Source organism: Homo sapiens, chromosome 20 (genome assembly GCF_000001405.40).
Source record: "Homo sapiens chromosome 20, GRCh38.p14 Primary Assembly".
Classification (NCBI taxonomy): Eukaryota; Metazoa; Chordata; class Mammalia; order Primates; family Hominidae; genus Homo; species Homo sapiens.
In genome coordinates, this window is record NC_000020.11 from 46,212,930 (window position 1) to 46,239,538 (window position 26,609).

Below are 26,609 nucleotides of genomic sequence, written 5' to 3' on the forward strand. Positions count from 1 at the left end.
AGAGGCCTCCCTGATCCTCCCACCCCTGAGGCCTGCCTCCCCCATTCCTCCTGAGGCAGCTGCACCTTCTGCACTACGATGATGGCCTCCTGAGTGTCGCTGTCTGTGGTGACCTTGAACACATCGCCGCCGCTGCTGCTCTCGTCCTTAAGGTGGTAAGTCATGTCTGTGTTCTCTCCCACGTCTGAGTCCTCAGCCTTCACACGTCCCACAGCCGTTCCAATGGGGGCTGACTCCTGGATGCTGAACTGGTACATCTCTGTGGGGGACACGGCCATGAGCAGGGATGAAGGCAGCCCCTTCCCCAGCCTCTGCCAGCAGTGGGGGAGGGGACAAGGGGGCCCAGGTGAGCCTCTATGGAGGACAGTGCCTGAAAGGGGCTCTCAGCTTGGCCAGAATGGGGGCTGGGAGAGGAATGTCCCCTGCAGAAGTTTGGGTGGCAGTGCAAAAGGAGGGTTTAAATTCTGACCTTTGGGTTTATTCACTGGTTGATTTGGTAAAATGCCTGCAGTTCTTTGGGCCTCAGTTTCCCTACCTAGCCAGTGACAGGGACAGAGGAGCACAGTGATAAAGGCTAAGACTCCGGAGTCAGTCCTAGCTGTGTAACCCTGAGCCTCAGTTTCCTCCTCTGTAAAATGGAAATAAATAACGATGGTGCCTTCCTAACAGCTGTGTGTTTATGGCAACTAACTTAGATGATGACGCCTGTAACATGCTTAGTACAGTGCCTGGCACTTGGTAGCTACTCAAGAAATAGAATAAATTGTGTTAAAATGGTGGGGCTTCATAGTGATTTTGCTGTTGATGTTAACGGTAGTTATTCCTTCATTTCAATGTATACATTGAGCACCTATGATGCCCCCAGACATCATGCGGTTCTAGACACTGCGGTTACAGCAACAAATAAAATGGACCAAAATCTCAGCTCTCATGTTGCTTTCCTCTTAATAGAAAGGGAAAGACACTAAACAATCACATCAGTGAAACATATGGTATGTCCAATGGTGATAGGTACTTAGGAGAGAGATAAAGCAGGGAAGGTGTGGGAGTGCTGATGAGGGTGTTGCGCAGTTTTAAATAGGCTGATCTAGAAAGGCCTTGCAGAGAAGATGACATTTCTGCAAAAGTCAGAAGGTGGGGAGGGAGCGAGCCAAGCAGATATTTGGGAAAGAGTATTCTAGACAGAGGGAGCAGCAGGTGCAAAGGCCCTGAGGTGGGTGCTGTGCCTGGCATGTTGGAAGAATGGCAAGATGGCTGTGTGGCTGGAGGGGAGGAGCAGAGGGGAAACCAGAAGGAATGAGATCAGATGGGATGGAGGCTGCAGCTTGCTCTCCAACCAGAGCTGAGGTCGAGGTGAGGATGACTTGCTAAGTGATGGGCCAGCCTAGCTGAAGCAGGGTCTGTGGGGATGTGTCTCTTGGGGGCTCCACAGGTCTTGGTAACCCTTGCGTGGAGTGGCTGCCTCTGATTCATCCTCATACAGCAGCCGGGGTGGGGCACTTTCTGAAACACGAGATGAACATGCCACTCCCCTGCTTTAATCCCTTTTATAGCTCCCCATTGCCCTTGGGATGGAGTTGTGCAAGTCCCTTGGCCTGCCCTACAAAACACTGCCTGGCCCCTTCTGGCTTCTCCAGCCTCATCCTCCAATCCCCACTCCATCTCTAGCTTCAGCCTTGCTGAAGTTCTTGTGATTCTGCAACTGACTCACTCTCTCTCACCTCCAGGCATCCCCTCTCCCTGTCCTCCTCTCTGCCTTTGCCTTCCCAATTCCCGCTCTGCCTTCTAGTCTCACTGAATGTTACCTCCTCCAGGGAACCTTCCCAGACCTCCAGGCTCTGCTCCTGTGCTCCCTTGGCCCCCAAGCTTATCCCATTGTTAGAATTACTGCGTTTTTACTCTCATTTTCTGTTTATTCTCTCTCTTGGGTATGAGCTGCTGGAAGAAAGGGACCACATCTCTTATTCATCAGGCATTCCCAGTGCCTGGCAGAATGCCAGGCTGTCGCATAAATGAAATGTGTGAGGGACTAGTGAGTGTATGAATGAAAACCAGCATGAGTTACCAGTAGACACTCACCAGATTAACACAAATCAAAGAACGTGACAGTACCAGGAGTCAGTGAGGATGTGGTACAATGGACATGTGCGTTTCCTCATGGGGGAAAACAGTTTGGCTTTATTTGGTAAAGCTAAAGATGAGTACATCCCATGACCCAGCAATTTCACTCCTCTGTATCCATAGAGAACAAGTGCAAATGGGCACCTGGAGACCTGGGGCAATAAGGTTCAAAGCAGTCTCCTTCCCAATGGCCCCAAACTGGAAATAATGCCAGTGTCCACCACCCCCAGAATAGATAATTATGGAATACTATACAGCAAAGAAAATGAATAAATTACAGCTACCAGCAACATAAGTTCATAAACACAATTTTGAGAGGTAAAAAGCAAGACAAAAACAATTTGTATTGTATGATTCATCCCATTTATATAAGGTTCAAAAATGGATGAAATTAGACTTGTGACTGGTGATGCCTGCGTAGATGAACAGACTCAAAAGATGACCATCACAAAAGCAGGTAGTGGCTAACTGGAGGGAGGAGTTGGGGAAGAGGCTATGATCAGGAAAGGGCATATTAGGGCTTCTGGGGTCCTGGCTGGTGGTCATAGGATTGTTTGCTTTATAATTATTTGTTGAACTGTTGTTTTTGTGTGCCATAGTTCATGATAAGAAAGACGGAAAGAAAAAGAAAGGAAGGAGGAAAGGAATGACGAGCAGGAAAGCAAACCTTCTGGGGGCCCTGGCCTCCTCTCTGCTCTGCCCCACCCCTTCCAGTTCAGAGCTCATTCAGAGCCTGGCACAAGTGGGCAGAAGACTGGGTGGGGGTGCGTCCCACCCATGCCACCCGTCTGCATGGGGCTGCCTTCAGGGGCTGGGGCTGGGCTGGGAGATTGGGCAGTGGGATGGCTTCTGTGCCAGGCTCCCTGGCACCGGGAAGCCGGTTGGTGAGCTCAGCTCACTCCGCTCTGTGTCTGAGCTGAGGCTGTAGGCCACAATGATGCTGCGCTCTCAGCTAAGGGATTGGATTCCCTTATCTCTCGGGGGTCAGTCCCCTGTGGCGGGGCCTAATGTGAGAGCAGCAGACCTCAAGTAATGACTCACCCGATAGGAATCAGCCCAGCTCCTGCGGCATTTAGTCCCTGCCAGCTTTGGTGGCTTCCCTGTAGTGGCTCTCGGCCTGAGCCTGGGACAGAGGGGTTGGCTGGGCTGATAGGGAGCTGGGAGGCTGGGCCGGAGACATCCCCCAACCCCCGCTGTGCCAGCAGAGGCAGAGGGTGGAAAGGCCTCCTAATTCAGAAGCACAGAGTCGCGCTACCCAGGCTCAGAGGAGGAGGGAAATGCCTGTCACTCAGACTTAGTTTTTCTCTGCACAACCTCTATCTGTCTGGGGGCTGAGCTGCCTCTGCCTAGATCCCTGGGTGCCCCCTTTCTCCCCAGTACCTTCCCTCTGCAAGCCTAGGTCAGCGGCATGGGATGGCCCAACAAGTGGCTAGGGGAGTGGGCAGGGGCCAGTGAGGGGTTGGAGGATGGACGGAAGGGTGGATGGGTGGGGCTCCCCCTCTGCCGGAAGCAAGAGGAGGTCTGGGAAGGTGATGGTGTGTTACTTGGCTCTGTGGAGCATCGGACAGCCCTGGGGTCTTCCTTGGTAGGAAGCATGGTTGGAGGGGGGCTGGGGGATAGCTGGTGGCTTGGGAGGACAGACAGACAGACAGAAAGAGAGGGGGAAGCCCTTCTTTTGGTGGGAAGTCTAAAGGGAAGCTGGGGTCAGCAGGTGGCTTGGATGGGGTAACAGACAGACACACAGACGCGCCTTCCTCTGGGAAGGCCTCACTCACTCTGCGGGAAACGGGGCGGGTTGTCATTGACGTCGGTGACTACGATGGTGACGGTAGTGGAGCCCGAGAGGCCACCCAGCTGACCCGCCATGTCTGTGGCCTGGATCACCACCTCGTAGCGCTCCTGGCTCTCGCGGTCAAGGTCAGGCACAGCCGTCCGGATTACGCCTGTGGGTGAGTGAGGGTGAGGCCAGGGCACCCCACACCACCTGCCCACTGATGTGGAGACCCCTGTACAGGCGGGATTCAGACCCTGTGACTCCTGGGAAAATTAAGCTCAGGAGGAGAGTGGGCCACACAAGGACATCCACGTGTCCACCATGTGGGACAGGGCTCAGTGTACACCACACACACTCACACACGCTCATACAGATACAGATACACATGCCCACACAGATATACTCACACATGCTCACACACACGGTCACACAGATAGACTCACATACTTGCTCATATGGATGCAGATACTCACACATACACACATGATCACACAGATGTACACACATGCTCATATACTCACATACACTTCTACAGATACATTCACACAGGCTCACACAGAATAACACACACAGGTTTATTCACAGGTTTATTCCCAGATACATTCACACACACACAGATACACACAGATACATTCACACACACAGAAACATTCACAAACTCATACACACTCCTATAGATACACTCACAAACACACACTCATATACCTTACAGATCCAGTCACATGCTGCCACTCATACACTCACAGACTCACACAGAATTACATACAGGCCTATACAGATCACCCACACACATACCTGCCCATGCAGAAATGCACATGGGCTCAGATACACTCACACATCCATACAGAAACACACACACTCACACCTGGCCATACAGATGCACTCTCACAAATAACTCATACTCACATACACACAAACACACAAACAGATACACTCTCAAATACACACTCAATGATCCACACACATTCACACATACTCTCAAATACACATCCTCCCACACAAACACACACAGACACACTAACATATACACACACACTCTCATACACACTGTAACACATACACACACTGAAATACATACACTTTTTTTCTTTTTCTTTTTTCTTTTCTTTCTTTTTTTTTTGAAACAGAATCTCACTTTGTTGCCCAGGCTGGAGTGCAGTGGCGCGATCTCAGCTCACTGCAACCTCCTCCCGGGTTCAAGCAACTCTCCTGCCTCAGCCTCCTGAGTAGCTGGGACTACAGGCATGCACCACTATGCCTGGCTAATCTTTGCATTTTTAGTAGAGACAGGGTTTTGCCGTGTTGGCCAAGCAGGTCTCAAACTCCTAGCCTCAAGTGATCCACCTGCCTCAGCCTCCCAAAGTGCTGAGATTACAGGTGTGAGCCACTGCACTTGGTCTCAAATACATACACTTTCAAACACACTTGCTCACACACATTGCACCTGCATTTTCTCACACACAGACACAACACAAAAGCAACTGTGTGACTCCCCTGGGCAACCAGTCCCACTTTTGGGGCCTCAGTTTTCCCACTTGACATTCTATGCATGAACCAGGCCTGTGTCAGTAACACACAGCCCAGAGCCAGGCATGGAGCAGCAGCTTGGCTGGTGTGAACTGGACTCACGTCCACACTCATGTACACTCACTATGCTGTCACACTCACCTGTATACACACATGCAACGTAGTTCACACATTTGTGGTGTATGGACATAAGAACACATACAAAGTCCCTTACACACATGCACACTCATAGCTACCACCTCACATTCTTATTCACACCCCCTCCCACAACCAAATTATCCCCCAGCCTTAGAGGTGCACCCCAACCCTCTCCAGGCCCTAGATCCTCTATCCAGGCACCAGCTAATCACGGAGCAGACAGTCCTCCAAGCTGTTATTGGAAGCAGGGAGGGCAGCAGGCGTGGGGGTGACCGCAAGATTAATTCTGCTGTGGGGAAGACTGGGCTTCTTGTCTCCCTGCCAGTAGAAGAGACAAGGGTAGGGCGGGGGAGTCGATGAGGCATTCAGAGCCTCTCCCACCACCCACTCCAACCTGCCGAGCACCAGGTGGTGACAGGTGGTGCCCGGGGCCTGTGCGCCAGGTGGAGTCATGCACCAGCAGCCCCATGCTGCGCCCCATAAAACCCAAGCTCTGACACCTGATGTCCCCCAACAGTCCCCAGACTCCCATACAGGCAACAGAATGGAAGGAGAGGCTGTAGGGCGTGTGTGTATGTGTGGTGTTTGTGTGTGTATTTCTGTGTGTACCTGTGGTAGGTAGCCAGAGGTGGGGCACCTAAGGGGTGGTCCTGCTTTCGTGGGATCACATGCAGATATGGAATGGGTGTTCTGCCTAATCAAGGGTCACACAAACCATCTATCAGTGGCCTTCTCAACGCCTCAGTAGGCCCCCTCCTGACCCCTTCTCTACCACCACTGGTCTTCCCAGGAACAGGGGAGTCTTGGCAGTGGATTGCCTTGGGATAGATTCCAGATCTGCCATTTCTTTGGTCATGTGATTTTGAGCTAATCCCTTCACCTCTTTGAACCTCAGTTTCCTTATCTGTAAAATGGGACAACCACCATACTGACTTAAATGACAGGATTTCTCAAACTTGGCACTGTAGTCAGTCATTTTGGGCAGGATAATTCTCTGTAGTGTGTGTGTGTGTGACCTGTATGTTGTAGGATATTTAGTAGCATCCTTGGCCTCCCGGCACTAAATGCCAGCAGCACTAACCGTCGCCTTAGTTCCAAAACTGTCTCCAGACATTGTCAAATGGACCCTGGGGCAAGATTGGTTGAGAACCACTCGTATAGGATTTCATCTCATGAGAATTACATGTAATAAAAACAACTAATGTTTATGTGCATTTGCTCTGTGTCCGGCATTATTCTAATCACCTTAGGTGAATTGCCTCATTTAATCCTCTCAATATTCATATGTGGAAGGTCCTGTGATTATACCTGTTTTATAGATGAGGAGACAGAGGCACGGAAAGGCTAAGTACCTTGTTGAAGGTCACACGTGTAGAAAGTGCATAGCCAGGACGCTGAGGCTTTGCAGCCCTGGACAGCAGGGGCTGTACAGGGAAGGTGGGGTGTGTCATATTCTCCACCCTGGGGGGTTGGAAAGAGAGAATGGAAGGCAGACAGAGGGGAGGAAGAGAGCGAAGGTGATGGACAGGGAAGAGGAGAGAAAGAAGAAAAGGAGTCCCAGGGAAAGAGAGACAGGGAGAAACCTAGTGAGAGACAGGAGGAAAGAGACAGAGAGGAAGGGAAGAAAGGAAGGTAGGGGAGGGGAAGGGAGGGGAACAGACAGAGAGGGAGACTGAAAGGGACAGAAAAACAGAGAAGGGAAGATTGCGGGGGGAGGTAGATAAACCAGAGAGAAAGCCAGAGATACCCAGAAAGAGACAGTAAGAGAGAAACAGAGACCTAGAGAGAAACAAAGAGGAAGAGAAAGAAAGGAGGGAAGAAAAATGGGCAAAGAACAACTGAGAGAGCGGGAACAGACATACAGAAAACAGAGAGGGAGACGCAGGAAGGGTGAAGAAAGATGGTGGGGGGTGGGGAGGGGAGGGCAGGTAGGCTTACAGTGCAGCAGCCACCAGGCCAGGGAGCAGGGGATCCCAGGTGGAAAGGTGGAGAGGGAGTGACTTTAGCCGAGCACTTGCTGTGTGCTAAGCTTTGTGCTGGTCACTTGCCATCCAGGACCTCAGTGAATGTACAGGATTCGTGGTAGGATGTGGAGTCACTGTGTATCTATGGGCTTGGGCACCAAAGGCTCAGTGTCCCAGCTCTGAGTGGGGGCTGGAGCAGGGGCCTGGCTCCACCTCTGTGAGTGAGAGAGGCTCCACGTGGCTGCCTTCTTTGCTGTCCCTGTCACTTCCAGCTCCTGAGGAACTGGGGACACGACACTCTTCTCACTTGGAAACTGGTCCTGAAGCCTTGTGGTGTGTAGGATTCAGGTGCCATCTCTGGGTGTGTGTGAGTTGGGCCCCCTGGGCCTTGTTCTCGGGATCCAGGGAACAGGGTAGGTTGCTATGGTGACAGTGCCCAGTGAACCACACCTTCCGGTATCCACGCCCTTGGGTCATTCCCTCCCACACTGACTCTGGCCAATGGGACATCAGCAAGTGTGCTTTGGCCAATAGGACATCAGCAAGTGTGACAAAAGCAGAGGTTTGATAAGCCCCTGTATGCTGCGGCCTGTCCTCTTGGAATCCTGAGACCATTGTACTGTGAAGAAGCCCAGGATAAAAGGCCACATGGAGAGGGAGGCCTAGTCCTGCCAGCTGTCCCAGTGAAGTCACTCCCAGCGACCCGACAGCTGACTGTTGCTGCATGAGTGACCCCAGCAAAATAACTGCCAAGCTGACACACCAAATTGTGACAAATAATAAATTATTGTTGCTTTAAGCTACCAGGTTTTGGGTTTTTTTTTTTCTTTTTTTTTTTTTTTTACATAGCTCTAGATGACTGATAGAGAAATCCAGTTGGCTGGGCCATTCCTCTGCTGATTTTGTCTGGGCTTACTCACGCATCTGAGCCTAAACCGGAGGAGCAGCTGACTGGAAGGTCCAAGATGGCTCATTTACATGTCTGGCAGTTGGTCTTGGCTGTCGGCGGGGACACATTGGTTCTTTCATCCTCCAGTAGGCTGGCTTCCTTACATAGCAGTCTCAGGACTGTGTTCCAGGACAGTAAACGTGAAAGCTGCAAGGTCTCTTAAGGCCTAATGTCAGAATTTGCATAACATCACTTCTGCCACATTCTATTGGCCAAAGTAGTCCCAGGCGAACCCAGGTTCAAGGGGTAGGGAAACAGACTCCACCTCTTGCCCAGAACAGTGGCAAAGTCACATTAGTAAGCAGCCGTGTGCAGGGCGGGGAGGAATTGATAACATATTTTCCTATCTACTATGTTCCACTCCACTGTCTTCCTCCTGATGTTGGGAGAAGCACGGTGGAGACTATTGCCCTCTGAGAGATCTAGGGGTACAAATATTCCAAAACAGTCCATGAAGTTGTTCTTGAAAGCTTCTGGCTCTTTGACTTCATCCGTTCACTCATTCATTCATTACAGTCTTGCCGAGGGCCTACTACAGGTGCTGGGGCTGCACAGACTCAGATAGGCTGCAGGAGGACTCTGGGGCCAGACAGATATGGGCTCAAGTCTTCTTTCCACCATTTACATGCTAGCTGACCATGGGCAAGTTCCTGGGCCTCTCTGAGCCTCTGTTTCCTCTTATGTGAAATGGAGACACCCACCTGGTAGGGCTGTTGAGAGGACTGAATGAGAGGAAGCTTCCAGCAGCAGGCCTCACATTTTGGAGATGCCTTGCTGATCTCTTTCCTCAAGTTCTGGATTGAGTACCTCCATAAACAAGTTTCACAGAGGCAGAAATCCATGCTGGTCTTGTTCATCCCGTGTCTATAGGGCCTGGCACACAGCAAGTGCTCAAATGACGTTTTGACTGGCTGACTCCCAGTGCCCCTCCACTGCCCCTCTCACAGCCTGGGTGTAGCTATCCATTTGCTTCTCTGCTGGAGCAGAAGCTCCGTGAGGGCAGAAACCAGGTCTACTTCATTATCCTGACCCCAGGATCTGGCACTTAGAAGGTGCTCAACAAATGTTAGTTTCATTCCCTCCCTGTAAAATGGATGACTCTGGCTCAGTTGACAATTTTCAGCAGAGATCTTGAAATCTCGGAGAACATTTCTATTCCTGCTGGGGTGGTGGTGGGCGGGGGCTGGTAATTATAACCTGGCCTCAGCTCCCGCAGCCTTGTCTTCACCCATCGTCCCCAGTTCCAGCTGTTGTCCTGGCCTCCCCTGCTGTCCCCTCCAAATGCTGCAAAAGGGGCCCTGGAGCCCGTGTGATGCCTCATTAGCACACAAATGCCATCCCTGTCGCCCCTGTGGGGGGCCTGCTGGCAGGCCTGGCCTTTAAAACACACAAGTTAATTCCTCCTCTGGCATTGGGGCCTCGCGGCGCCCCGCCTCCTCCCTTCCCTCACACCTTCCTCCCAGGCCCCGTTCCGGCTCTGCTCCCTGCTATCTGCACAGCAAGAACAGACTGTACCTCGCAGCAGCTGCTAAATATAGACCCGCATCAGCAGAATATTCCTGGCTGGGGAACTAGAGCTGGGGCTGGGAATGGCACCAGGGCAGCTCTTGCCATGGGGCTGTGGGCAAGGGGAGGCAAAACCTGGTTCTTCCTGGGACGTGCCAGAAAGGACCCTTTCAGATTGAAGAGTTGAGGGGCTCTGGAGCAGGGACCCCATTTGAACTCCTTCAACTGCCTTGCCTGGTCCTCACTTTCTGACCTCTTGGGAACTGTTCTGCTCCCCCAGGCCCGGTGGCCTCCCAGTTGTCACCATCTTCTGGGCCCTCTGCTGCGGGGGATGCTGTTTCTTAGAAACTGGCTGTCCTTCCCACTCTCATGTCCTCCCCACTCTCTGATCCTTCATCTGCCCAGCCCTGCCACCTCCCAAGACTCAGTCTTGGCCCTTCTCTTATTTCTATGTTCTTTCTTCTCCCCATCTCCCCAAGGCTTATCAACCCTAGGGTCCCCACCTCCTCAGGCTGAATGCATGAAGGCTTCCTCATCACCATCACTATCCTTTTGTGCTGGGGCTCAGGCTGAGCACTTTACATACTTCCTGTTCCCTTGGCCTGCAGTGTTGGTCCCCAGAAATCTGCATGGCTCATACCTTCACTGCACTTGGTCTCTGCCCCAAGGTCACTTCCCCAGAAAGGCCTGTTGTGATTTCTTTCTTTTTCTTTCTTTCTTTTTTCTTTCTTTCTTTCTTTCTCTTTCTTTTTCTTTCCTTCTTTCTTTCTTTCTTTCTTTCTTTCTTTCTTTCTTTCTTTCTTTCTTTTTCTTTCTTTCTCTTTCTTTCTTTCTCTTTCCTCTTTCTTTTTCTTTCTTTCTTTCTTTCCTCTCTTTCTTTTTCTTTCTTTCTTCTTCCTTTCTTCCTTTCTTCCTTCCTTCCTTCCTTCCTTCCTTCCTTCCTTCTTTCTTTCTTTTCTTTTTGAGATGGAGTCTTGCTCTGTCACTCAGGCTGGAGTGCAGTGGTGCGATCTTGGCTCACTGCAACCTCTGCCTCCTGGGTTCAGGCAATTCTCCTGCCTCAACCTCCCGAGTAGCTGGGATTACAGGCATGTGCCACCACTCCCGGCTAATTTTTGTATTTTAGTAGAGATCGGGTTTCACCATGTTGGCCAGGCTGGTGTCAAACTCCTGGCCTCAAGTGATCCACCCGCTTCGGCCTCCCAAAGTGTTGGGATTACAGGCATGAGTCACCATGCCTGGCTGTGAAGTCTTAATCTAAGTCCTTCCTCTGCATTAGGTTTCGTCCTCACACTCGTCACTGCTTGACGTTATGTTATATGTGTACATGCTCATCTTCTATATTCTCTACTTCAATAAAAGTGCCATGAATGCAGAGCCTTAGATTTGCCTACTGAAGCATTCCTAGTGCCTAGCACAGAGCCAGGCACATAATAGGCACTCAATAAATAGTGGTTGAATGAATGAGTGAACTGTCCCATTGAATCCTCACGACCATCAAGTGAGATGGGTATGATTCTCTCCCCTGTGCACATGGGGAAACTGAAGCTTTAAGAGACCCAACCATTCTTGGAGCTCCACACCTGTATTTCACATGGCCTGCTAGAAGTTCTAGGTGTTTCTTTCCCTGTTTTCGCTCATCTTAAAGCCAATATGGTTAAAGCTGAATTTTTTAGCTCTGCATCAGATTCCAGGGCACATTCACTCATTCCTCTGCTCTAGTAGCTTTCTTAATTTACACTCCTCCTGTTTCTGTTGATGGTACCCCTTGCCTAGATGAATAAATCCTACTACATGGAAAGAAACTCTGCCTCCTCCCCCAACCTAGTCCTGCAGATTCGTGTTGGCCCCCAAGGTTTGTCCTTGGCAGGATCTCACTGCCACCCCCTATTCTCTCTTCTCGGCATCTCAATCAATCCTCACTATGAATTCTTCATCATCCCTGGCCTCCTAGCTAGACAGGTAGGTTAAGGAGTCTGAGTGACTGTCAAGAAAGGGCGCAGGCTTTTGGTTTTTGCCATTTGGGACTCTATGCTGGGCATCCTGGGCTCCAGGGCCTCCCTGCCTCTAATTCCTGCCTCTGAGCCAAGCTCTGTAGCAGCAGCCCAAGGGATCTTGTTAAAATTAAAACCAGAGCATGTCATTTCCTTGCTTAGTAGTCATCAGTGAACCTGCACTGTAGGTGAGGAGGAGGGGAAATGGATACTCTCACACGTGGCTCACGGGAGTGTCGTCTGGTACATTTCGGCATTATCTATCGAGATTCCGAATGCATGTGCTCTTTGACCAAGCTTCTCCACTTCCTGAAAATTATCCTGCAGATATACTCACACAAGCACAAAATGATGTATGTGTGAGGTTATTCACTGTAGCATTGTTTGTTGTAGCAAAAGATTGGAAACAGCATAAGTGTCCATCGGCAGGGGACTGGTGAAATAAATTTTAGTGTATCCATAACACCCATTAAATAAGAGAAAGAGGAAGCCCTTTATGTACTCATATGGAATAATCTTCAAAATGTATTGTTAAGTGAAAAAGGCAAGCCGTGTGTATAGTGTGTTTATAGCTACCATTCATGTAAAAAAAATAAATACATGTACCTTATTTTCTTGTACATGTACAGAATAGCTCTGGAAGATGCATGAGAAAATTACATTGGTTGCCTTGGGGATACAGACTAGGTGGCTGGGGGACTGGATGGGGTGAAGAATTGCTACTAAATTCCTGTTTGGACTTTTTGAATTTTGAACCTTGAGATGTATTATCTATTAAATGTGAGTTAATATTTTCGAGTGAATGAGTCTAAGATCTCATAGGATGTATACACCAAGTGGCTACCTTTGGGGCTGCAATTACTGGTGATAGGGAGTGGGAAGCGTTTCTTTTTTTTTTCTTTTTAGCATTTCTTTAATGTTTGAATGTTTTATAAAATGTATTACTTTTTTGGGGAGAAAAAATAATGAAGATACTTTGTGTGAGAAAATACAATTACAACTGTGCTCATGGATTGGAATCCTCTCCCTTCTCCCCCAGACAAAGGAAACAGACAAACAAAAACCCAAAACCCAAATCCATCAACTCCCCCCAACCCCACTTCCCAGCTTTGCCCTTAGAATGAAATCCAAGCTCCTTAGCCTGGCTCACACCAGCACAGTCAGGCCCCTGCCACCCTCTCGACGTCACCTCTCAACAAACCTGATTGCCGAAGCCTGAGCTGCTTACAATTCCCCTCATGCCCCAGGCTGTTCCACTTCTCCCAACTTTTGCCTGAGCCATACCCTGTACCTGGAATGCCCTTCTCTGAAATCTTGGTCTGGCAACACCTTCTTCTTCTTCTTCTTCTTCTTCTTCTTCTTCTTCTTCTTCTTCTTCTTCTTCTTCTTCTTTTTTTTTTTGAGACAGGGTCTTGCTCTGTTGCTCAGGCTAGAGTGTGATGGTGCCATCATAGCTCACTGCAGCCTCGACCTCCTGGGCTCAAGCAATCATCCCACCTCAGCCTCCTGAGTAGCTGGGACTAGAGGCACCTGTCACTATGCCTAGCTAATTTTTTCTTTTGTAGAGATGGGTTCTCTCTGTGTTACCCAGGCTGGTCTCAAACTCCTGAACTCAAGCAATCCTCCCACCTTGGCCTCCCAAAGTCCTGGGATCACAGGGGTGAGCCACTGCACCCGCAGACACTTTCTTATCCTTTGTAGATTGCTGCTACTTCCTCCGAGAAGCCTTGCATCCTAATCCCTACATATCTGCCTATCCTCCTGCCCCACAGGGCTGTGAGCCTCACAATGGCATTTGATAAACATTCTGTGCTGTCTGACATCTCATTCCCCGCCTTCACCCAAGCCAGGCCCCTCCTATCCCAGGAGCAGTGAGAGCACCCCGCTGGAATTGGCAGCCACTCCCAGCTGTGTGACCTCAAGTGAGTCACTTCACCTCTCTGGTCTTCAGTCTTCTCATCCTGTCCTCCTCGCACTCCCCCAAGGCTTCTCAGAGATTAGTCAGGTTCTAATGTCACCGTGAGTGAAGTGGGGACAGCGGGTGGGCGTGCTGCACCATCGTTTGGTGGTGTTGAGGGGATAAGCAAGAAAGAAGCCACTCTTCCTTAAAGGTCTCTGTGTCTTAGACACCTTTCCTTAAAGATGCTTGTGTTTTTCCATCAGGTCCTTAACAACTGCCATGTGGGCAGAGCTCTCAAAACTGCTGAAACCAGCCGTCCTCCCTTCCCCAAACTACACTTGTGACCCCGGAAGAGCTCAAACGCCTGCTTCAACTTAGCTCCAAGGACAAGCCGCTTAGTTCGGACCTTTAAGGTCCTTTTAGGGCACCCACAGCGGCTGCTTCCTGCCTTTCGGTTTCTCTTCCAGTTTTGGAAGAACCCCCCACCCCATTCCTTTTCTGTTCCTCAGTCCGTCCATCTTCCTGCCTGGCTGCCCCTCCCTCTCCGCGACCCTGGACTCTCCTGCTGTGCACAAGGTGCCCCCTGTGCTGTCCTCAGAGCTTCTGGGACAGAAGGCTCAGAGCAGACGTCTGGGGTGGTCCTCGTCCCGCCCCGCCCCTGGCCCCGCCCCACGGCTCCGCCTCTGGCCCCGCCCTGCCCCTCACCGGTCTTGGGGTCCACGGTGAAGTGGTGCTCGCCGTCCAGCACGCTGTACACCAGCCGAGCGCTGCTGCCGTACGTGGGGTCATCCGCATCCGAGGCCATCACCTGCATCACCGACGTGCCTGGGCCCGGGGGACCAAGCGAGACAGGGGTCATCTGGGGCTGCGGAGCTCGTTCCCCCACTTCGCCTCACCCCAGGGAAGCTGGGAGAGGAGACCCTCGGGAGACCTGCGGGAGGCCATCGAATACAGCCCCTCACGGTCCCCATCCCCACTCTGAGCCCCAACCCTCTTCCTGTTTTGAGGCCTTTCTGGTGGCGCAAGTGTGACCATGGAGTCAGATCTGGATTCAAGTCCCCTTGGGGTGGTTCCCAGCTGTAGGACTCTGGCAACGAAAGGCAGCCTCTCTGAGTCTGTTTCCTCTTCAGCAAAGTGAGGCAAATCCTAGTGCTTGGTTCACTAGGTTGAGGGGATGAATTCTAAACTCCCAGCACAGAGCTGTTCACAGAAGTTTCTCAATGATGGCGACAATCATTACAGTCATCACAGTCAGTTGGAGCCAGGACTGGAAACCAGGACCTGACTCTCAACCCAGGGGCCATTCTACCCACTCCAGCTCCTACTGATTCTTCAAGGGACTTCTGCCTCCTCTCCCCGCATGATGGTGGTAGGGGACAGCCCAGAGGGACAGACCAATTCATCGGGGGTCAGAGGCCAGTGTCTCTTGGCCCCCGGCAGGAGAGGGCAGCACCCAGCCTTCCCTTTGGAAAGTTGTTGGCTGCGGGCCCTGGTGCCCTCCTCGCCCCTCCCCCTGGGTGCCCAGACAGCCCACCCCCAGACACACACACTTCTCATGCTCTGCACGTAGACTGCTGGGGAGAGTATAAATTGGATAAAAGTCCATCAAACAGTGGCAATTAAGTTATTGATTTTTGACGCTGCCTCATTAAACCGGGAGCTTCTTTTGGTCTGTCCCAGAGATGGCTCTAATTTGACATCATGTTCAATTTGACGAAAGCAGGGCTTGGGACGTGAGGCTAGACCAGGTGGGGGTGGGGGTAAGGGTGGGGGAGGGTCAGGTGGAGGGGCCAACAAAGCCATTGAATCCACCCAAACCTTTCCAGAAAGAAGAGGGTGAGCTGGAAGACTCAAGAGTGAGTCTTGGGGGTTCAGGATACGACCCAAAGGGAAGGAGATGGAGACCCCACCTCAGAGAGATGCCCTCTGCTGGGTGCCTGCTGGTGGGGCCAGGCAGGCCCCTCCTGGGCTGGGCTGGGCTCCCTGGGCCAGCAGGGCTGCATGCTGGGAGGTGAGGCCAGTTCACTGCCTGGCTAATGAGTGAGAATCTGGAAGTGCTACTGCAGCAATTCTGCTAAGCCCAGCCCGCCGCCCGCCTCTCCCGCCTCCAGCCTGGGGCCCTCGATCATTCCAGACAGACACATGTATTTATTTTTCACTCTTTTGCATTTCTCATTTCCCTCTCCAGGTTCCCCCTCCCAGCCACAGTCTCCTAAAACGTCCCTGCAATGCGCCTCTCTCTTTGGCCACTCCAGCTCCATGTCAACCATGTCAGAGTTGACCAGAGAAGCTGAGGAAGAGGGATGGGCAAGCCCCTTCCCTCCAGATGCTGGTGCCCAGGGGTCTCCTACTCAGGGAGGACACAGCTCCAGGTGCCTCTTGCTGGACTGGAATTATGTCCTATTGAGCACTCATGACACACTGGCTTCACCAGCCACTTAAATCCATCATCTCTAATCCTCATAGCATCTCGGAGATGCAGAGTGGCCCCCCCCCCCAATTTTACAGCTGAGGAATCAAGTCAGACAGGGGAAAAGATTTCACTGAGGGCACAGAGTGAGGAAGTGGTGGAATTTGAACCCGGGACTCTGGGATGCCAAGTCCCTTCTGGGAAGCAGTATCAGCACAAGTACAGTGACTTTGGGGACAGTGGTCTGGTGTACTGAGTCACAACCAGCGATGGCACTGCCACTTATTAGAAGTTTGACCTTGGATCTGTCATGAACCGCTTTGTGCTTCAATCTCCCCATTTTGTGAAATGAGGGTGGTAGTATTACAGATCTCCTGAGATCATTTTGAGAATTCAATTTCCACGTCCAGCACCAAGGACAGTGCCTGAACCATGCCAAGAACCCAATAAGTGCAGGTTGTTGTTGTCAACTCAAGAGGCACAGCACACCAGTATACAATGGCACAATTATGCCTCCCTCACAGAGGTGCTGAAATGGGAGAAGATACATAAAGCATCAGGCTTATGGTGGGTGCACAATATCTAGTGGCTGTTGTAATTGTTATGAGAGAGGGTCTCCCTGTCACTCCCCTGGCAAGTCCCTCCCACTCCCTGGGCAAAGCACAATGCAGGGCTGAGTGACTCCCCAGAGACATGGCTGAGCTCTCTCTCTCCCTGGCTGCATCCCAGGGACTCCCGAGGGGATGATGGAACCATTTCCCCAATCCAGGATTCTTTATTGCAGCCATTATAGTTAATGCCGACATGTGGGAATGGTAAAGGGTCAGTGATTCACCACTGGTTTCCCAGGCCCCAGAGGAATGGCTTCCTTGGGCCACACACCCCCTCCCACCTTCTTCAGAAGTCAGCAGCTCCCCAGAATTGGCTGACAAAAGGGTGCCAGGCTTGTAGCTACTGTGGGACCACCTTGGGGTGGTCCCACAGGTTCAGCAGTTTATATTTCACAGTGCCGCATCATGTCCATTCTCTCCTGCAGACTTCACACCAGCTCTGTGATATAGACGCAGTGGTTTGTTGGTGAGTCAGCTCTGAGGGGTGGATGGGTCGGGAGGAGTGCCCTGCTTTGTAATGTTTGCTGATTTCCATGGTGTAAATATTCTCTCCATGGCCCAGTTTCAAGCTACCAACATGATATCAACTGGCCCACAAAACTCCTGAAAATCAACATGTGGCTCTCGTGAGCTGGTACGAGCTGACTCCAGCACACCCCTGCACCATCCCCATTTCACAGCTGAGGAGACTGCTATGCACAGTGAAGGGTGAAAACATGAATTAATAATGAAATCCATTATGAATTATGTAACATTATTCAATAACTGATAAAGATAGCTTCCATTTATTAAATAACAACTTTGTACTAGATACTATGATATAAGCCCTTTTTGTATATGATAGAATTTACAAAACAGGGCCTTCAGATAAGCTTTTAATATTTTCACTTTAAAGAGGAGGAAATGGAGGCTGAGTGAAGTTAAGTAATGAACCTCTTAGTGCTTCCATTTCCTCATTAGTGAGATGGGTAAGAATACTACCAAACTCGTGGATCACTGTGAGAACTCAGATTTCTATGCTCAGCACCAAGGACAGTACCTTGACAAGCTCACCTGGTGCAGGAGAGAGGCAGGTTTCAAACCCACGTGGATCTGATGTCAAAGCCCACATATATCCTGCCTTAGAGGGAGGAGGAGGGGCTGCTTGGAGTAGAAGTAGATAGGTGAGACAGAGAGAGGGAGGACTCAGACACAGGAGCAGGGGGGCAGAGGAGGGGAAGGACAGGAGCTGGGTTTAGATTCTCCCTCCCCTACAGCTGGTCCAAGCCCAGACTTCCAGAAGTAGAGCTGGGACTGGTTGACAGGAGCGGGCTGCTGTCCGTGGTGCTGCTGCCCAGCCCTTCTGCTAAGTGGTGGTTAAGGGCCTAGGTCCAGGCTGGAATGGGAAGGGTTGCCCAACTGATTCTTGGCTAAACAGGATCTCAGGGCCCATGGATCCATGTGGAATGTTAGATATGGAATGGCTTGTCCTTGAAGAGCACAGAAATCAGAGCTTCTCAACTTGGCAGCACGTTAGAATCTCTTGGGAGCTTTAAATAACATTGATGTGGAGCCCCATCCCTGACCAATTAAATAGGACTCTTGGGGAGGAGCCCAGGCAAAGGTATTTTCACAGTCTCCAGAGTGCATCTAAAGTGTCTCTCGGTCTAAAAACTGATGCCCTAGACTGAATCCCTCACTGAACTGATGAGGAAATTGAGTCACAGAGGGGCTCGATGACTTCCCCAGGGACACATCATTAGTAAGCAGTAGGGAAAGATTCAAACTCAGGTCTGCCTAGCCAGCATGCTGCCCTCCTGGACTCATTGAGCCTGTTCTGAGACTGACACCTGAAGGAAGCAGGTAGGATAATGTTGCCACCAAGTCATTAGAGCTCTTCCCAGCTGAAGTCAGCATGAGAAGTCGGACACTCTTCAGAGGAGATGCCCTCGCATCTCCATGGAGACTGGGTGGGCTTTGGCATCACAGAGTCCTGTGGTTTCAGGTCCTACCACTTCCTCACTCTGCACCCTCAGTCAGATCTTTTACCCTTTCTGATCCATTTCCTCACCTGTAACATTAAGGGGTGCCCATTCTGAGCCTCTGAGCTGCTATGAGGATTAGAAATGATGGATTTAAGGACCCAGTGTGTCGTGGGTGCCTAACAGAAGCTCATTCCTTTCCCTTCTCTCCGTATCATCAGGAGGCACCTGGGGCTGTGCCTCCCTGAGTAGAAGACCCCTGGACACCAGCATCAGGAGGGAGGGGGCTTGCCTACTCCTCATCTCTGTGTTGTTCTGACTTGGTTTGTTGTGGAACAAGAATTGGAATATGTGTCCTGGATCCCAGGCCAGAATTCTTTTTTTTTCTTATCCCTTAATCCTTGCTATCTGTGAAGTGCAGTTGAGTCTCCAGACTCAAGTTCCAGACCCCCCAGGAGGAGCCCCCCAGCTGGCTCTGGGAGTGGGTGGTGCTGCATGGAGTGGAGCTCAGGGATTACAGACATACATTCTCATTCCAGCCCTGTCCTTGGCTTTGTGTGGCTGTGGAAAAACTTCCCAATCTGATTGGGCCTCAGTTCCCCTTCTGTAAAATGGAGATAACACTTTATCATTCCTGTCTCCCTGGGTGTGGGAGACCCCTTAATGAGAGAAAGAGATGAAGCACTTTGGAAAAGAACAGAGTTCTCAGCCGAGGTGACCACATGTCATTATTATGAAGACGTTTGTAATTATTATCATCCTGCCTCTTCCCTACCTCCTTTTGCCACCCCACTGGGTCTGGGGAAACCCTAGGCTCACATTTAGCTTCTCAAACATTTATAAAAAATGAGTCCCACCCCTGCTGCTGCCAGCACTGTGCAGAATGCTTTCTATTAAAAATTAAAAACCACTTGTCGAGTCTCTGGGAACGCTCAGATTACACAGGAAACAAGCCCCCTCTCAACATCCACCCCTGCTGCCCTCCTCCCAACTCCCTCTTCGATCATCACTTAGAATGCCAGCTGGCTGGGCTGGCCTCGACCCTGCTTCTAGCCTCCCAGCCAGGGCAGCCTAATGCAGATGAATGGCACACAGGAGATGCAGGAAAGTGGCTGCATGGGAGGAGGCAGGTCCAGAGACAAGTGACAGAGAAGGCAGCACAGAGAGAGGGGTCAAGAAAGCGGGTAAGAGACAGAGAAAGAAGGGTCAGAGGGACAGAAGTTCGTGGGGCAGAGACAGACAGAAAGCAGTAGAAACACAGAGGTTAAGTAGGAAACCAGAGGAATCTAGAAACAGAGACAGAGCAAATAGAACAGAGACAGAGGTACATATGGAGCAGGAAGAGGGGGCAGAGCAGGAGGAGGAACTAGGAGAGGAAGGTGAAGTTTGGCCTGGTGGGGTGAGGGGCCTGCTGCATTGCACCTTCCTCCAGAGTCTCCAGGGAACGTGAAACACCCTCCCCTCCTCACCTTTTCTTTCCTTATGGATCCCGGCCATGGACTTGCCCATCCAGGCGACCCCTGACTGTGTGTGTGTGGATCTGCTATGTCCTCCTGAGAGAGAGCACTCTCTTATATCCCAAATAGACCCACAAGCGCTTCTGTCCTCTCAACATTTACCAGGCCCTCTGTTATGCAATCTAGTGACTTTGTTTGTTTCGGACTGCAACATTTGAAGTATCTGTGATAGCATCCTTCTACTCATGGCAGAAAGCAAACATTTTTGCTTATGATTCAATTCCATTCATTCTCTCAACATCTACAGAGCACCTACTATGTGCTAGACCCTCGAGGGCAGGATGGTAGCTTTATCATCTTTGCACCCTAATGCCATGTGGCCACAGGGCCTGGCATACAGAGAGTGCTCATATTTGTTGGATGATTTGTTGATGGAAAAGACAAAAAGAGACAGGGATATATTCCTCCCTGTCCAGATTACCCGGGCCATGGGGCCAACTCCTGAGGACCAGGGCCTCGGCTCCTGTCTGCTGCTTCTCCCCACCAGAAGCCTCCTGTCCCGTTCCCCCCAGCACGGGTGGTGAGAGCCAGTGCCGTTGCTAGGCAAGGAGATATTGCACGTATAGATCTTCCTGGACTTTAATTAAAAACATCTTTAGAAGTTGTCTCTGCAGAGACCAGCGATTGATTCCTGGCTTGGGCCTGCGGGCTGCTGAGCTACACTCTCTCCAGCTACAGACGGGACAATTGGAGGCTCCCAGCCTGCTGCTGCCCTCTCCAAATGATATCCTTGGGGAACACACTCCTTCCTGCCTTCCTCCTTTCCTCTCTGTTCCCCCAAGCACCGAATTTAAGAATCAGATAGTGTGCTCTCCCAGTTTTACTTTCCTTCCCCTCTTGAGCCTCAGTTTCCATAGCTGTAAAATGGGGATGTCAGTACTTAACCCAAGAGAGTCCCCAGGAGGCTGAAATGATATTAGGGATGTGAAAGTGATTTTCAAGCTGTGAAGTTTTGTGCAAGAAATGATTGTGACTCTTTCCTCAAAGAAAGCTATGGATGCCGAGCCAAGGAACTCAGGTTCTGGTTTCCGCTTCTGGGTCTAGTTCTGGCTTCAGCTCTTACTGTGGAAGCTCAGAAAAATCACTTTGCATTTATTTTTTCATTAGTAACATGAAGACACTAATACTGATCCTGCTTATTCCTCAGGATTGTGAGAATAAAGGGAAATAGCTCTGTGAAAGCAGTGCTTGCTGATAGCTCTTATTTAGTGAATATCCCAAGAAGTGCAGGCTGTACTACCAAGACAGTCTTTTCCCATCTATTAAATATGCTGCTCACAGAGGAATTGAAACACATGGAAAAGTGCCCGTTTCCACATTCTGTTGAGCCCCAATCCCATGGTCTGGCAATGTCAATTCTATGGCATGTGCGCTATGACATTCTCCTTCCTTTGCCCATGGCAGACATTACTAATCCATCATGGCATTTTTTCTACCAAGGCTGAATGAGATCTTAGACTCCTTCTCAATACAGCCCAACAGTCACTACCAATTGATCTGAGTTAGCACAAGAGACGAAACTGATCTGCTACCACTTTGAGGTCAGGGGTGGTGTCTTGCTCATCTGTGATCTCTACATACCTAGCAAAGTGCTATGCACATAGTAGGCCTAATATGTGTTTATTGAATTAAAAGCAACTACTTCTCTGTCCTCTGTGGGGCTATATATAAAGTAGGTGCTAATAAATGTTTGCTAAGTTGGGTGACTCATCTTTGCAAGCCCTACAGAGCCAAGTACATTGGAGGCCTTGTGTATAATGGGTGCTAATAAACATTTGTGGATTTAATTCAATTACTTATCTTTGCATCCTCTGCAGTGCCCAGAATAAAGTAGTGGTTAATAAATGCACATTGAATTGAATTTCTCATTTCTGTCTTCAGTAACTTCAATAGTGCCAGGCATAGTGTCTTGCACAAGATTGGCATGAATAAGTAGGAGGAGTTGAGCTGGGTGTGGGAGACCTGTGAAATCCTCTTGCCATCCCATTCAGGTTGTGACAGCCTAGGGAAGGGGTGTGGCTCCCTGACATTGAAAGAATGTCTAGTCCAATTCTTCTCTATCAAAACTTACTCCCTGTTGATGTATGCAGCATCAAGCTGTAAATTCCCTCTCTCTGCTGCTGACTTCCAAAGTTGTATCTTTAGCCTCATCTCTCTTCTGACATCTAGACTCATAGATCCAACTGTCCCCTTGACATATGAACTTGGATGTTCAGTAGACACCTCAATCTTAACTTGCCCAAGAATTAATTCTTAATTTGTTCTGCAAACTTGCTCTTCCTGGAGCAGTCCCCATCTCAGCCGCAGTAGCTCCATCCATTCAGTTGCTCAGGCCCAAAACTTCAGCATCGTCCTTGTCTCCTCTGCCTCTTACTCCCCACAACCAATCCCTCACAAACCCTGTTGGCTCTACCTTCAATGCACATCCAGAATTCCATCTTGTCTCACCATCCACACTGGTCCAAGTCACCATCACCTCTTGCTGCACTATTGCAATTGCTTCCTCATTGGCCTCCCTACTCCCAACCTTGCCTCCTACAGTCTATTTTCAACATGGTGGACAACAAGTCGTTCTTTTAAAATATAAGCTGGATTAGATTAAACCTCTGCTCTCCATCTCACTCAGAGTACAACCAAAAACCTTTCAATGGCTACCAAGTCCTGTGTGATCCATTGTCTGAGGTAATCAGACTCCAGATATTCTCCCACTCACTCACTTCTCTTCAGCCACAGACCTCCGTGCTATTCCTCAAACACGACAAACATGCTATGCCTCAGGACCCTTGCATTTGCTGTTCTCTCTGCCTGGAACATTCTTCTTGTAGCTTAGTGGTTGTCCAAGTATGGTCTCCATGCCAGCAGCATTAGGGAGTTTGTTAGAAATGCAGACATTTCTAACAGCCCAGACCTCGTGAGCCAGAAACGCTGGGGGGGACAAGGGCAGCAATTTGTGTTTTAACAAGCCCTCCAGGTAATGTGGATGCACCAAAGAGTTTGAAAACCACTGTTTCACAGAGCTCCTTGGTTCCCTTCCTTCAGATCTTTATTCAGATGTCCTCCTCCAGAAAGACAGGACTTCCCTGACCCCTCTATCTAAAATAACACTCCCCGCAAATTGCTCCTAATTCCTTTATTCTGCATAGCACTCACACCATCAGGCATATTAATATTCATTTTATATATCTATATAAATATATAGATATATATTTAATTATATATAATATATAATATATTTATATATAAATATATAAATATAAAAATAAATATATATTATATATAAATATAATATATAATATATTATATATAGATATATATTAATATCTATATTTGTATATATTTATATATTAATATCTATCTATCTATCTATCTATCTATCTATCTATATATACATAGAGAGAGAGAGAGAGAGAAAGAGAGTCTTGCACTGTCACTCAGGCTGGAGTGCAGTGGCATGATCTCTGCTCACGGCAATCTCTGCCTCCCCAGTTCAAGCAATTCTTCTGCCTCAGCCTCCCGAGTAGCTGGGACTACAGGTGTATGCCACCATACCTGGCTAATTTTTTTCGTATTTTAGTAGAGACGGGGTTTCACCATGTTGCCCAGCTGGTCTCGAACTCCTGAGCTCAGGCAATTCACCGGCCTTGGCCTCCCAAAGTGCGAGGATTACAGGCATGGGCCACCGCACCTGGCCTATTTTATATTTTTAATTATTTATTTGGATATTATACATTTGCTTGTCTCTGTCCTGACTCTCCCTGCTATAGTATGTAGGTTTCCTAAGAATCCCCAATGCCTGAAACAGTGCCTGGCACATAGCAGGCACTCAATAAACATCTGATGCTTGAATGAACCCTCTCAATGCTCAGAAGGGAACTTGGGGTCCAGAGGGGGCAGGAAGTCGACCAAGGTCCTGCAGGGAACCAGGCGTCCTGACTATCAACTCAGGGCCCACTTGGCTGCATCAGGCTTAACATGACTGGTGTGCCCCTGCTCAGAAGCGTGGCTCATCGGAGGCCCCCCGGCACACTTCCCTTCCCTTTTAAGCTGTGAGTGGTTTAATTTGCAAGCGCTGCTGCCTTTCATGTCCCAAGCTGCGTCCCTGCTCCCTCTGATCTCCGAAGCTGCCCAGACCCTGGTGCTGCTTGTCGGCCCCGCCCTCCACAGCCGGATCAGGAGGCTCAGTAATTGTGACTGATTTTCAAAGCTGCCTGGAGTCTCTGCAAGCACCATGGTGTCAGATTTGCTTCCCCTTCAAATAGTTGCTCAAATGAAATAAACTAATTTAATTTCTGCTTCTCCCTTCCCCCTCCTTGGTTCCCAGCTGGTTCAAATTGAGTCCCCCCCACTCCCGACATTTTTCCTGAGTGGACTGTGAGAGTCAGTGGGCTGGGAGAGGGAGTCAAGACAGAGCTGGGTCTCCATAGGCCAGTGGTCATAAACTGGGGGCTGCCTCTGCCTCCTACTCTCTGCATGACCTTGGATGAGTCCTTGCCCTTCTCTTGGTCTCAGTTTCCCCACCTGTGAAACAAGGACCCTTGCCATTCCAACAACCTGGGAGCCACGCCCAGCAACTTGCTCTGTCACTGACTTGCTATGTAGGTACTTTCTTCTCTCTGAGCCTCAGTGTTCCCATCTGCTCAATGGGGATGCTACCATTAGTCCTGCCACCTCTCAGAGTCACAGTGAGAGTGAAGTGGTCATGGAGGAGCCACCATGGTGGAGATGAGGCTGCTCTTCCCCTGGCACCTCCCCATCCTCAGCCCTTCTCCACAGTGCAGCAGAGGGAATTTTCCAAAATGCAAGTCTTCCCATGTCACTCCCTCAGTTAGGCCTTTCCCAGGCTACCTGCTTTCCTCTAGTCCTTCAGATGGGGCTCCTGCTTCCTTCTCTAGCATCAGCTCTCCCCACCTTTCTGGACTTTTTAATGCAGAAATGTGCAGGTCAGTTTTAAGTGAAGGGAGACAGGGCTGTGAGTTTAAGTCAGTAGGTAGGGGCTGCCGGACCTAGAAAGTCAGGGACTTGCTGTGTGACCTTGGACATGTCACTGTCTCTCTGAGCCCCAGTTTACCCATTAGCAAAATTGTATGCTAAGTTCTTGCCAGGCTCTGAAATTCCATATGTCTTTGCCATTGATAATATCCAAATTTATCTCTCCAGCCCAGACCTCCTCTGAACCTGGATATTCAACTCTCTTGTTCAAGATCTCCACTCAGCAGCATAATACGTTTTTCTAACTTAACAAACTTCACGCCAAACTCCTAATTTCCTCTCATCCCCCAAATCTGTTCCTTCAATCTCAGTAAATGGAAATCCATCTATTTAATTGCTCAGGTTACAATCCTAACAGTCATCCTTGAGTTTTCTTTCTTTCACACTCCATATCCAATCCATTAGCAAATGCTTTCAGCTCTACTTCTAGGATATATCCAAAAGGCAACCTCTTTTCAACACCTCCACTGGTACCATCTTGTTCCAAGCCACCATCACTTCCTGTTCACAGGCCACCTGCTTCTGCTCTTGCCCTCTTTTCTGCCCATCTATTCTTCATGAAAGAGCCATGGGGTCCTGATCATGTCATTTTTCTGAGCAAGACCTTCCATTGACTTCTCAGCTTGTTCAGCATAAAAGGCAACGCCCTGGCTATGGTCTACATGGCTGCATGATCTGGTCACCTTGTTTCTTCTCAGCAGAATTCAACTGCAGGGCCTTTGCATGTGCCATTCCCTCCGCCTGGAATGCTCTTCCCCCCAGGGCCCATGCTCTCACTTCCTCCAGGTCTTCAGAGAAGCCTTACTGGACCAATGATCTAGTTGTTCACTTGCTTATTGTCTGTCTTCCTTAGGAAGAATGGGCCCTCCATGAGAGGAGGGAATCTTCTGCCTTTTCACTGCTGTGTTCCCAGGGCCTAGCATGTAGTATGCACTCAATAAATATTTGTTGAATGAATGAATATACTCATATAGACACAGCATGTCACATGCACACACAGGCCTTAAAGTGCTTCTTGGTTAGGTGTTTGTGTGTGCACATCTGCATATATATGTGGAACACACATGTACATCAGGCATGCATGCATGCATTCCTGTGTGTGTACACCAGTCTGCACTCACATCCACAGCCCCACTGTTCCCTATTTCCCCCTCATCCCTTGCCCACCATTCTCTCTGGTTCACCTCCTCCCCTTCCCCTACTGGCTACTTGCTCATTATCCCAGCAAGCTGCCAGATTTGGCCCAAT

At 49.7% G+C, this 26,609-nt stretch overlaps 1 protein-coding gene across 6 annotated transcripts in view, besides 3 other annotated features; it reads right to left on the reverse strand.

The window, feature by feature from the left end:
* The window catches only part of CDH22 (cadherin 22), a 134,760-nt gene that overhangs the window by 39,191 nt on the left and 68,960 nt on the right, over nt 1-26,609 (reverse strand). For all 6 annotated transcript variants that reach the window (XM_024451966.2, XM_047440373.1, NM_021248.3 and 3 more), the window contains exons 4-6: nt 14,579-14,698; nt 3,897-4,064; nt 66-259 (exon numbers count right to left, since the gene is read on the reverse strand). In XM_024451966.2, coding sequence (XP_024307734.1) covers nt 66-259; nt 3,897-4,064; nt 14,579-14,698 — 482 coding nt within the window. The remainder of the gene's footprint in view (nt 1-65; nt 260-3,896; nt 4,065-14,578; nt 14,699-26,609) is intronic.
* Nucleotides 2,918-3,454: an enhancer, noted in NCBI's record as "H3K4me1 hESC enhancer chr20:44844486-44845022 (GRCh37/hg19 assembly coordinates)". NCBI's record gives its function as "activates a minimal SCP1, AML or CMV promoter by ChIP-STARR-seq in naive H9 embryonic stem cells {active_cell/tissue: H9 hESC(naive)}" and the evidence as "EXISTENCE:reporter gene assay evidence [ECO:0000049][PMID:30033119]".
* Nucleotides 3,993-4,528: an enhancer, noted in NCBI's record as "H3K27ac-H3K4me1 hESC enhancer chr20:44845561-44846096 (GRCh37/hg19 assembly coordinates)". NCBI's record gives its function as "activates a minimal SCP1, AML or CMV promoter by ChIP-STARR-seq in primed H9 embryonic stem cells {active_cell/tissue: H9 hESC(primed)}" and the evidence as "EXISTENCE:reporter gene assay evidence [ECO:0000049][PMID:30033119]".
* Nucleotides 18,108-18,308: a silencer, noted in NCBI's record as "peak4226 fragment used in MPRA reporter construct". NCBI's record gives its function as "represses an SCP1 promoter by STARR-seq MPRAs in K562 erythroleukemia cells {active_cell/tissue: K562}" and the evidence as "EXISTENCE:reporter gene assay evidence [ECO:0000049][PMID:32103011]".